At 47.3% G+C, this 12727-nt stretch overlaps 1 annotated feature.

The window, feature by feature from the left end:
- Positions 11922 to 12122: a silencer, noted in NCBI's record as "peak2007 fragment used in MPRA reporter construct". NCBI's record gives its function as "represses an SCP1 promoter by STARR-seq MPRAs in K562 erythroleukemia cells {active_cell/tissue: K562}" and the evidence as "EXISTENCE:reporter gene assay evidence [ECO:0000049][PMID:32103011]".

Raw genomic sequence — 12727 nt, forward strand, 5'->3', positions numbered from 1 at the left:
AGTTCTCAATTATTTATCAATTTTGATTTCTTCTCTCTCCAGACCATAATACTAATATCGGCACCACACTTTGCAGCTTATAAAGCACTTTCAATTCTATTTTATTTAATTCTTGCAACCCCAGGCAGAAGGCTTTTATTACCCCCTTTCTATAGGTTGGGAAACTGAGGCTCAGAGAGGAGAAATGAAGGTTCCAAGTAGAGGTAAGTAAGGCATTCAACTGGGGCAAGAATTTAGAGTTACTTGATGAAGTGCCTAATTAGCCCCAGGGCATGGTGTTGACAAAGGAACTATAATGAAAACACTAAACTCTACCTTTTGTGGAGGAAGATCCCCTGGGGCGGGGGAAGGAGGTAAGGAGTAGAGACTAAGAAGTTGACCATGTCTGGTTCATCTGTGATCCTGGGCCAATGTAGGCCCTGGGGAAAGATTTGGTGCTGGGTTGAAGAAATAAGAAGTGAAGGAGGCCAGGCACAGTGGCTCACGCCTGTAATCTCAGCACTTTGGGAGGCCAAGGCGGGTGGATCACGAAGTCAGGAGTTCAAGACCAGCCTGGCCAAGATAGTGAAACCCCGTCTCTACTAAAAACACAAAATTAGCAGGGCGTGATGGTGCATGCCTGTAATCCCAGCTACTCGGGAGGCTAAGGCAGGACAATCGCTTGAATCCAGGAGGCAGAGGTTGCAGTGAGCTGAGATGTCACCATTGCACTCCAGCCTGGGCAACAAGAGCGAAACTCCATCTCAACAACAACACGGTGGCTCACGCCTGTAATCCTAGCACTTTAGGAGGCTGAGGTGGGCAGATCGCGAGGTCAGGAGATCAAGACCATCCTGGTTAACATGGTGAAACCCCGTCTCTACTAAAAATACAAAAAAAAATTAGCCAGGTATTGTGGCGGGTGCCTGTAGTCCCAGCTACTCGCGAGGTTGAGGCAGGAGAATGGCATGAACCCAGGAGGTGGAGCTTGCAGTGAGCCGAGATCGCGCGACTGCACTCCAGCCTGGGAGACAGAGCGAGACTCTGTCTCAAAAAAAAAAAAAAAAAAAAAAAAAACCAACAACAACCAAAAAAAAAACAAAAAGTGAATGAATAAATGAATGAATAAAGGGAGAAACTTGGAGCAAGACCCCTTCGCCCTCTCTGGACTCAGTTTCCCCATTTTTTACTTGTTGACAGCTAAGTTTCTCATCCTTAGGAAAATGAGCAGACACAATATTGTACTCTATTTCCAGATGCACACAGACCACCCTCCTGAACCCCTACTGTGGATCCCTTGGGAGGGGGTGATCCACTGAACCCTATGTAGGGAGCCCCTGAATTTGAGGATCTGAGATCCCTTCCAGCCCTGGTGTTAATAGTTGTAATAATGATAATAGTAATAATAATAGGATCCAGAAGTTTTGGGATATTGGCTCTGGGTCAGGCACTGTGCTAAAAGCTTTATCTCATGTAATCTCTTTACAGCCCTGTGACGCAGCCATGGTTATTATCATCTCCATTTTGCAGATGAGAAAACTGAGGCTTAGAGAGGCTAAATGACTTGCTCACGTTGCACAGCCTAAAAGTGAAGTCCATGGTTTCCAATTTAGCACTGCAGACACCAGGGCCCCAGCACTACCCCCCCTCCATTACGGAAGAGTAGGACCTCCATGGGGCCCGCCCTTCCTTCCTTCCTTCCTTCCCTCCCTCCTTCCTTCCTTCCTTCCTTCCTTCCTTCCTTCCCTCCTTCCCTCCCTCCCCTTCCCCTTCCCCTTCCCCTTCCCCTTCTCCTTCTCCTTCTTCTTTCCTTCCTTCCCTTCTCTTTCCTTCCTTCTTTTCGTTTTGTTTTGTTTTGTTTCGTTTCTTACTTTCTTTTTTCTTTTTTTTTTTTTTTGACGGAGTCTCCCTCTGTCGCCCAGGCTGGAGTGCAGTGGCGCGATCTCGGCTCACTGCAACCTCCGTACCCTGGATTCAAGCAATTCTTCTGCTTCAGCCTCCCAAGTAGCTGGGAATACAGGTGCGCACCACATGCCTGGATAACTTTTCTATTTTTAGTAGAGACGGGGGTTTCACTATGTTGGCCAGGCTGGTCTTGAGCTCCTGACCTCAGGTCAGCCACCCAAAGTGCTGGGATTACAGGCGTGAGCCACTCTGCCTGGCCCATGGGGCCATGGGGCTCTTTCAAGGGCAAACTCAAGTTGCTTTTTTCTTTTCTTTTTTTTTTTTTTTTTTTTGAGATGGAGTCTCATGCTGTCGCCCAGGCTGGAGTGCAATAGCACCATCTCAGCTCACTGCAACCTCCGCCTCCCAGGTTCAAGTGATTCTCTTGCTTCAGTCCCCTGAGTAGCTGGGATTACAGGCAGCTGCCACCGTGCCCAGCTAATTTTTGTATTTTTAGTAGAGACAGGGTTTCACCATGTTGGCCAGGCTGATCTTGAGCTGCTGACGTCAAGTGATCCTCCTGCCTCGGCCTCCCAAAGTGCTGGGATTATAGGCGTGAGCCACCACTCCTGGCCCAAGTTGCTGTATTTGAAGAGTGTATCATAACACTGGCAACCATTCATTAATTTAAGTATTCATTCAGAAATCATGTATGAGCACCTCCTATGTGCCAGGCACAGACTGGTTAATGCGGGCTCATGAGGATCATGGTCTCTGCCCTCAAGCAGCCCCACTTATTTATTATGTATTTATTTATAGAGACAGAATCTCACTCTGTTGCCCAAGCTGGAGTGCAATGGCGTAATCATAGCTTACTGCAGCCTTGAACTCCTGGGCTTAAGCAATCCTCCCACCTCAGCCTCCTGAGTAGCTAGGACTACAGGTACGCACCACCATGGCCAGATAATGTTTTTCAATTTTTTTTTTTTTTTTGTAGAGATGGGGTCTTACTATGTGGCCCAGGTTGCTCTCGAACTTCTGGGCTCAAGCAATACTCCCACCTCTGCCTCCCAAAGTGCTGAAATTACAGGTGGCATGAGCCACCACACCTGGCCAGTCACATTTATTTTATTGTTCCTCTCCACGAGATTCAGGTGTGAGCTATTGCAGTGCAGAGTCTCGGACCCTGTTCTGGTCCCACAGAGTCGGATGCTTTGTGGTTGGAGCCCAGGAATCTGCATCTTACAAGCTTCCCAGATGCCTTATAAACACTGAGATGCGGGAACCCCTGGGTTAGGGCTGAGGCGACCTCGACAAGCAAAAATTCATCACACAGCAAGAAATGTTTGCTTTTTTCTTTTTTTTTTTTGAAACACAGTCTCGCTCTGTCACCCAGGCTGGAGTGCAGTGGCACAATCTTGGCTCACTGCAACCTCCACCTCCTGGGTTCAAATGATTCTCATGCCTCACCCCCCCGCCTGAGTAGCTAGGATTACAGGCAGGCGCCACCACACCCAGATAATTTTTGTATTTTTAGTAGAGTCCAGGTTTCACCATGTTGGCCAGGCTGGTCTTGAACTCTCCTGACCTCAAATGATCAAACTCCCAAAGTGCTGGGATTACAGGTGTGAGCCACCGTGCCCGGCCAAGGAACATTTTCTATAGGGATTATGGGGGTTGCCAGGGAAGGCTTTTGGGAGGAGGTAACCCCTTTTTTTTTTTTTTTTTTTTTTTTTAGAGACAGGGTCTCGCCACGTTGCCCAAGCTAGTTTAGAACTCCTGGGCTCAAGTGATCCTCCTGCCTTAGCCCCCCAAAGTGCTGGGATTACAGGCATGAGCCACCAGGCCCACCCAGAGGTGACCTTTTAAGATGAGACCTGAGGGGTGAGTAGTAGTGAACAAGTCAACGAGAAGGGGGAAGAGACACAGCAAAGTAGAAGCCCCAGTCCTTGCCCCGAAGGAGTTGACAGCCAGGTGGATGGAGGGGATATAGTAATCAAGCATAGCAGATGATGCTTCCAGGAGGTTGTGGAAGGTGAAAGAAGCCCTGACTCAGCCTGAGGAATCCAGGTGACTTTGCCGAGGAGGACCATGTTTTCCAACACCCAGATATGAGTGCAGACTGCGTCACAACTTGGGTGAAGAGAATGGGTGTTCAAGAGAATCAGGGCAGGCCAGGAGTGAGGGAGGAGTCTCCTAAGTGTTAAAGGCCTCTTAACAGCCAACTAGTGATGGGTAGAAGTCCCAGTCGACCTCTGATCTGGATACTGTTTTCACCTCCATTGTCAATGCTAAGCCTTTGTTTGTTTGAACTAAGTCCTTCTATCTGGAGTCCTTAGTGATCCGGCAGTAAATGGTGTAAATGGTGACATTTAAGTGAGTGGAGGATTCCTTTGCAATGGGACCCAGAGAACACCTGCTAATTCAGAGGAATCTCAGGATCTCATCCCTCTCGAAATAACCTTCATGGCCACCATTGCTGAGGAGTGGGTAGTAGAACTCTGGCCCTGGCCCTGGCCAGCCTTCATTCAGTCCTAACATGGCTGCTTTCTAATTATCTGTCCTTGGATACGTGTTACTTAATTTTCTGATGCTGCAATCTCATACTCTGGCGAAGGAGGCTAATAATAGTACTTACTACTGCCAGAGAGTTATTTTGAAAACAGAATTAATTTTCTTATGTATTAACTTTTTTGTGTGAGTTAAATTTTCATTTACAAAAAAGAAATATATATTTATATATAATATATAATATATAATTATATATTTTATTTATATATAATATATATAATTATTCATTTTTAATTTATATATATTTATAATATATAATTATATATATTACATATATTTATAATATATAATTATATATTTTATATATTTAATATATATAATTATATATTTTATATACTTATAATATATATAATTATATATTTTATATATTTATAATATATATAATTATATACATTATATATATGTGTATTATATATATCGTGTGTGTGTGTGTCTATGTCTGTGTGTGTTTCAGACAGGGTCTCGCTCTGTTGCCCAGGTGGAGTGCGGTGGCATGAACATAGCTCACTGCAGCTTTGAACTGGGCTCAAGCGATCCTCCCACCTCAGCCTCCCGAGTAGCTGGGACCACAGGCATGTACCACCATGCCTAGGTAATGTCTTTTATTTATTAATTTATTTATATTTATTTATTTATTTGAGACAGGGTCTTGCTCTGTTGCCTAGGCTTGAGTGCAGTGGCGTGATCTCAGCTCACTGCAACCTCTGCCTCCCCGGTTCATGCCATTCTCCTGCCTCAGCCTCCTGAGCAGCTGGGACTACAGGTGCATGCCACCACACCCGGCTAATTTTTTGTATTTTTAGTAGAGATGGGGTTTCACTGTTTTAGCCAGGATGGTCTCGATCTCCTGACCTCATGATCTGCCCACCTCGGCCTCCCAAAGTGCTGGGATTACAGGCGTGAGCTACTGTGCCCAGCATGTCTTTTTTTTTTTATTTTTAATTTAAAAATTTTTTTTTGAGGTGAAGTCTCACTCTGTTGCCCAGGCTGGAGTGCAGTGGCATGATCTCGGCTCACTGCAAACTCCACCTCCCAGGTTCAAGCGATTCTCTTGCCTCAGCCTCCTGAGTAGCTCGGATTACAGGTGTCCACCACCACACCCGGCTAATTTTTGTATTTTTAGTAGAAACGGGGTTTCACCATGTTGGCCAGGCTGGTCTCGAACTCCTGACCTAAAGTGATCCACCTGCTTCAGCCTCCTAAAGTGCTGGGATTACAGGTGTGAGCCACCGCGCTTGGCCATGTCTTTTATTTTTGTAGAGATAGGGGCTTGATCTGTGTCACCGAGGCTGGTCTCGAACTCCTGGCCTCAAGCAATCCTCCCACTTTGGCCTGTCAAAGTGTTGGGATTACAGGTGTGAGCCACCTGGCTTCACCCATGTTTTTTATTTGTAGAAGTTTATGGGGCGCATGTGTAATTTTGTTACTTCCATAGGTTGCCTAGTGCTCAAGGCAGGGCATTTAGGGTATCCATGGCCCAAGTACCATACATTGTACCCATTAACTAATTGCTTATCCTCCTCTCAACTCCCACCCTTGAATTTTCTTATGAAATCTTCTTAGGATCTAAGATCACTGCAGCCTCTGCCTGCTGGGCTCAAGTGACCCTCCTGCCTGCCTCAGCCTCCCAAGTAGCCGGAACTACAGGCTCACACCACCATTCCGTGCTAATTTTTTTGATAGGAGGTTTTGCCACATTGCCCAGGCTGATCTTGAACTCCTGGGCTCAAGTGATCCACCCGCCTCAGCCTCCCAAAATGCTGGAATTACGGGTGTGAGCCACTGCCCCCAGCCTTTTATGAAATCTTTGGAAGAGCACCTGATGCACAGTGAGACCTCAGAAAATGTTAAGTATTGTCATTTTATCAGTTATGTCCCAAAAACTGTGCAAAGTGTTGGGGATACAACAACAACAAAGACAAGCTAAATAAGCTAAATGCTCTCGTGGAATTTATAATCTATTTTTTGTTTGTTTTTGAAACAGTCTCACTCTGTCTCCCAGGCTGGAGTGCAGTGGTACAGCGTGATCTCGGCTCACTGCAACCTCCACCTCCCGGGTTCAAGCAATTCTCCTGCCTCAGCCTCCCGAGTAGCTGGGACTACAGGCGCATGCCACCACACCCATCTAATTATTTGTAGTTTTAGTAGAGACGGGGTTTCACCATGTTAGCCAGAATGGTCTCGATCTCCTGACCTCGTGATCCGCCCACCTCAGCCTCCCAAAGTGCTGGGATTACAGGCGTGAGCCACCATGCCCGGCACACCCAGCTAATTTTTGTATTTTTAGTAGAGATCACACCAGTGCACTCCAGCCTGGGTGACAGAGTAAGACTCCATCTCAAAAAAATAATAAATAAAAAGAATTTTTAAAAATAATAAATTATTATTATTATTATTATTTGAGATGGAGTTTCGCTTTTGTTGCCCAGGCTGGAGTGCAATGGCATGATCTCAGCTTACCGCAACCTCCGCCTCCCAGGTTCAAGCAATTCTTCTGCCTCAGCCTCCCTAGTAGCTGGGATTACAGGCATGTGCCACCACACCCAGCTAATTTTGTATTTTTAGTAGAGACAGGGTTTTTCCACACTGGTCAGGCTGGTCTCGAACTCCCGACCTCAGGTGATCCACCTGCCTCAGCCTCCCAAAATGCTGGGATTACAGGCGTGAGCCACTGCACCCCGCCAAAATGATTTTTTGAGACAGGGTCTCACTCTGTCCCCCATGGTGGAGTGCAGTGGTGCTCACTGCAGCTTTGACCTCCTGGGCTCAAATTATCCTCCCACCTCAACCTCCCACTGAGTAGCTGAGTTTATAGGCACTCACCACCACGCCCTGCTAATTTTTTTGTTTTTTGTAGAGATGGGAGTCTCACTTTGTTGCCCAGGCTGGTCTTGAACACCTGGGTTCAAGCAATCCTTTCACCTCAGCCTCTGAAAGTGCTGGAATTACAGGCGTGAGCCACCACGCCTGGCTTTAAAAAAAAGTTAAGAACAATTAGTGTTTGTTATTACTCTGCAGACTGTCGTGGGAAATGCAGACAGGACTGTGGTGATTGCCTGGGTGGAGTTTAGAAAATAGCTGTGGAGCACATGAATCTGCTAGATAAAAACAGAATTCATAATTCATGACCTGTTATATTGCACTGTAAGAGTCCAGACATTGTGTCAAAATTTAAAGAAGCAGAATTGACTTGTGTGTATATGTATGTGTGTGTGTATATATATATATTTTTTTGATGATACATATATATATGTATAAAGCTGGGTGTAGTGGCACATGCCTGTAATCCCAGCTACTAGGGAGGCTGAGGCAGGAGAATTGCTTGAACTCAGGAGACAGAGATTGCAGTGAGCCAAGATTGGGCCACTGCACTCCAGCCTGGGTGACAGACTGAGACTCTATCTCAGGAAAAAAAAAAAAAGTAAGCACTTTGTTTGTGTCAGGTACTGTGTTTGGTGTTGGGATATAGGAGTCAGCAAGACAGACAAGCTCCCTGCTCTCGTGAAGCTTTTCCCAGGCGACTTAGAAGTTAATGGGGGAGGGGGAAGAGCAGTCCTGGGACAGGGAACCGCCCGAGCGAAGGTCCTGAGGTTGGAAGGGGCTTGGCACATTTCAGAAACAGAAGGAAGCCTAGCTCGGAGGATGGATGTGGTGTCCCTAGGGATAATGGTGGAGATAGGCAGCGATGGTATTCCTTAGCACCTTGGAGGTCAGAGTAAGTAGTTTGAGTTCTATCCTGGGGGCAACAGGGTTTCAAACAGGGATGGTGGGATAGGCAGATTATACTTTAGAAGGATCTCCTGGCCAGGCAACCTGGCTCACACTTGTAATCCCAACACTTTGGGAAGCTGAGGCAGGAGGATCACTTGAATTCAGGAGTTTGAGACCAGCCTGGGCAACATGGTGAAACCCCATCTCTACAAAAAATACAAAACTTGGCCGGGCGTGGTGGCTCACACCTGTAATCCTAGCACTTTGGGAGGCCGAGGCAGGCGGATCACCTGAGGTCAGGAATTCCAGACAAGCCTGGCCAACATGGTGAAACCCGGTCTCTACTAAAAATACCAAAATTAGCTGGGCATGGTGGCGGATGCCTGTAACCCCAGCTACTCAAGAGACTGAGCAGAACTGCCTCCCAGGTTCAAGCGATTCTCCTGCCTCAGCCTCCCGAGTAGCTGGGATTACAGGCATGTGCCACCAAGCCCGTTTAATTTTTGTATTTTTAGTAGAGACAGGGTTTCGCCATGTGGGCCAGGCTGGTCTTGAACTCCTGACGTCAGGTGATCCGCCCGCCTCGGCCTCCCAAAGTGCTGGGATTACAGGCGTGAGCCACTCTGCGCCTGGCCGAGGTCTTTCTCTCAAAGCGATCACTAACCTGGCGCCACTGAACTCCAGCCTGGGCGACAGAGACCCTGTCTCTAAAGAAATTATTAAAAAAAAAAAAAAAAAAAAAAAAGGAGTCCTTGAGGCCCAGGAAGGGTCCTCTCCAGCCCTCGCACAAGCTCCACCTCCCCTCCTCCTCCAAGGATCCTGAGACCAGACAGCCACGTATAAGGTGGCGGGCGTGACTCCTCTGGCCAGGCTCGTGGGCGGCGCCCGCACATGCGGAGCCTGCCACCCACTGGGCGAGAGCGGTACTGCAGACGCGGGTGTCAAGAGTCGCCCCACCCGGTGGCTTTGCTGTAAATGTTCACTGAGCGCCTTTTCTGTTCCAGGCAGAAGGGGTCCCTGCCCTCATGTGGCTTACAATCTAATGGAACTAATACCAGCAACGGAAGTGCCGCTAGCGACTTGATTAAAACTTTTTTTTTTTTTTTTGAGACGGAGTTTCGCTCTTGCTGCCCAGGCTGGAGTACAATGGCGCAATCTCGGCTCACTGCAACCTCCGCCTCCCGGGCTCAAGCGATTCTTCTCAGCCTACTGAGTAGCTGGGACTACAGGCGCCCGCCACCACGCCGGGATAGTTTTTTTGTATTTTTAGTAGAGACGGGGTTTCACCGTGTTAGCCAGGATGGTCTCATCTCCTGACCTCGTGATCCACCCGACTCGGCCTCCCAAAGTGCTGGGATGAGAGGCGTGAACCACGGCGCCAGGCCAATTTTTGTGTTTTTAGTAGAGACAGGGTTTCATCATATTAGTCACAGGCTGGTATCGAGCTCCTGACCTCAGGTGATCCACCCACCTCGGCCTCCTAAAGTGCTGGGATTCCAGGTGTGAGTCACCATGCCTGACCTTTTTAAAATTTCTTTACAGCAATGCAAGAAAAAACTTTTTTTTTTTTTAATAGAGATGGGATCTCCCTATGTTGCCCAGGCTGGTCTTAAAGTCCTGGAATCAAGCAATCCTCCTGCCTCAGCCTCCCAAAATGTTCTGATTACAGGCATGAGCCACCACGCCTAGCCTATAGCAACTTTATAATCTGCTTTTTGATGAAAGCTTTTGTTCTTATAATACAAGTACTATACGTTCATGGTAGAAAATTTAAAAAGAAAATTTAAAGCCCAGACATAACTTCTGTCAACATGTGAGTGTAGCCCTTACGGAATTGTCGTGTGTTTTACAAAAATAGAAGTATACATTTAATATTTTGTAGCCTGCTTTCTTGTTTTTAACAGCTTTATTGAGATATAATGTAAGAGGGACCGATATCAATACATTCCAATATACCACCTTTTCACATACAATATATCTGCTTTGTTTTAAACTTAATGTAATAGTGGTTTATTAATAATAATATAACACAAATCACTGCTATAGGTTGAGGAAAGTGCTAAGTGCTTTACACACATCATCATGTTCAGTTCTCCCAAAAACCCTAACAGTAGGTACTATTATTTTCCTCATTCTGCAGATGAAGAAACTGAAGCATAAAATTACTTGTCCAGCAATAGCAGCAGAACCTGGATTTATTTTTATATTTTAAGATAGGGTTTTGGCTGGGTGTGGTGGCTCACGCCTGTAATCCCAGCATTTTGGGAGGCCGAGGCAGGTGGATCACGAGGTCAGGAGTTCGAGACCAGCCTGGCCAAGATGGTGAAACCCCGTCTCTACTAAAAATACAAAAATTAGCCAGGCAAGTTGGCGGGTGCCTGTAATCCCAGCCACTCGGGAGGCTGAGGCAGGAGAATCGCGTGAACCAGGGAGGCAGAGGTTGCAGTGAGCTGAGATTGTGCCACTGCACTCCAGCCTGGGTGACAGAGTGAGACTCCGTCTCAAAAAAAAAAAAAAAGATAGGGTCTCACTCTGTTGCCCAGGATGGAGTGCAGTGGCATGACCTTGGCTCACTGCAACCTCTACTTCCTGGACTCAAGCAATCCTCCACCTCAGCCTCGCAAGTAGCTGAGATTACAGGCAGGCATCACCATGCCCAGCTAATTTCTGTATTTTTTGTAGAGATAGGGGTTCGCCATGTTGCCTAGGTTGGTCTTGAACTCCAGGGTTCAAGTGATCCTCCTATCTCAGCCTCCCAAAGTGCTGAGACTATAGGTGTGAGCCACCTCACCCAGCCAGAGGTGGACTTAAATCCAGCTTTGTCTGAGAACCTGAGTTCTTAACCATTTTGTTATGCCTGGCCTGTGCCAGGCATTGAGAGAATTTAGAGGAATCCGAAAAAAAAAGGGGTCTCCTGGCCGGGCGCAGTGGCTCACGCCTGTAATCCCAGCACTTTGGGAGGCCGAGGTGGGCAGATCACCTGAGGTCAGGAGTTCGAGACCAGCCTGGCCAACGTGGTGAAACCCCATCTCTACTAAAAATACAAAAATTAGCCGGGTGTGGTGGCAGATGCCTGTAATTCCAGCTACTCAGAAGGCTGAGGCAGGAGAATTGCTTGAACCCAGGAGGCGGAGGTTGTAGTGAGTCGAGATCGTGTCACTACACTACAGCCTGGGTGACAGAGCAAGACTCTGTCTTAAAAAAAAAAAAAAAAGGTTAGGGGGTCTCCTGGGGCCTGAAGTGGAATGAGGAAGTGGAATAGTCATCATAAGAGGTACAGTGGGCTGAACATCACTGGGGGACCAGAGGCCAGGGTCAGGATGTAACCAGGAAAGGCTTCCTGGAAGAGGTGAGAACCGAGTGTGATGTGTGCAGACAGAGGTGGGGAACCACGTGGGGCTGGCCTAAGCAGAACCTCGGGTGTAGACGAGTGTATGAGCATCAACAGGGACCAGTAAGGAAAAATAACTGAGCACCAAATTCTATGGGGTCACAGAGATAGATGATACTGGGGGTCTGCCCTCTAAAGCTGACAATCTAGCTCGGCAGAAGGTTGAGAGGTGGGGGTAGGAACACAGAAATAAGTAATAGCTATCACTGTGCACACCCGCCCCCACGTGTCAGGCTTTCTACCTACATTGACACATTTAAGCTCACAACATCTCTGGAAGATCCAGTTATTAGCCCCATTTATGAATGAAGAAAGAAAGGCTCAGAGTAAAGCAGATTGCTCTAGGTCTTCCTAGCAGGAAGGGCTAGGGCCAAGGCTCAAACCTGGGTGGCTCAAGGTCTAAATCCAGTGTTCTAACCTGCACAGCTACGCTATTCAGCCTACCCCAGCTGGACCGCCCCCTCCCACTGCAAGGAAACCAACCCTGACACCCAGCCTTCTATGCCTTCTATGCAAACCTCTAGGTGCACTTCAGTCAGAAATCTTTTTTTTTTTTTTTGAGACGGAGTCTGGCTCTGTCGCCCAGGCTGGATCTTGGCTCACTGCAACCTCCACCTCCCAGGTTCAAGTGATTCTTGTGCTTCAGCCTCCCAGGTAGCTGGGATTATAGGTGCCCGCCACCACACCTGGCTAATTTTTTTTTAAGACGGTGTTTCACTCTTGTCGTCCAGGCTGGAGTGCAATGGCGTGATCTTGGCTCACTGCAACCTCTGCCTCCCAGGTCAAGAGATTCTCCTGCCTCAGCCTCCCAAGCAGTTGGGATTACAGATGTCTGCCACCACGTCTGGCTAATTTTTTTTTTTTTTTGTATTTTTAGTAGAGACGGGGTTTTACCATGTTGGCCAGGCTGGTCTAGAACTCCTGACCTCAGGTGATCCACCCGCCTCAGCCTCCCAAAGTGCTGGGATTACAGGTGTGAGTCACAGCGCCTGGCCTTTTTTTTTTTTTTTTTTTTTTTGACAGAGTCTCCTCTGTTGCCCAGGCTGGAGTGCAGTAGTGCAATCATGTCTCACTGCAAGCTCTGCCTCCTGGGTTCAAGCGATTCTCATGCCTCAGCTTCCCAAGTAGCTGGGATTACAGGTGTGTGTCAGCACACCCAGCTAATTTTTGTATTTTTAGTAGAGACGGGGT

This window comes from Homo sapiens, chromosome 12 (assembly GCF_000001405.40).
Source record: "Homo sapiens chromosome 12, GRCh38.p14 Primary Assembly".
NCBI lineage: Eukaryota > Metazoa > Chordata > Mammalia > Primates > Hominidae > Homo > Homo sapiens.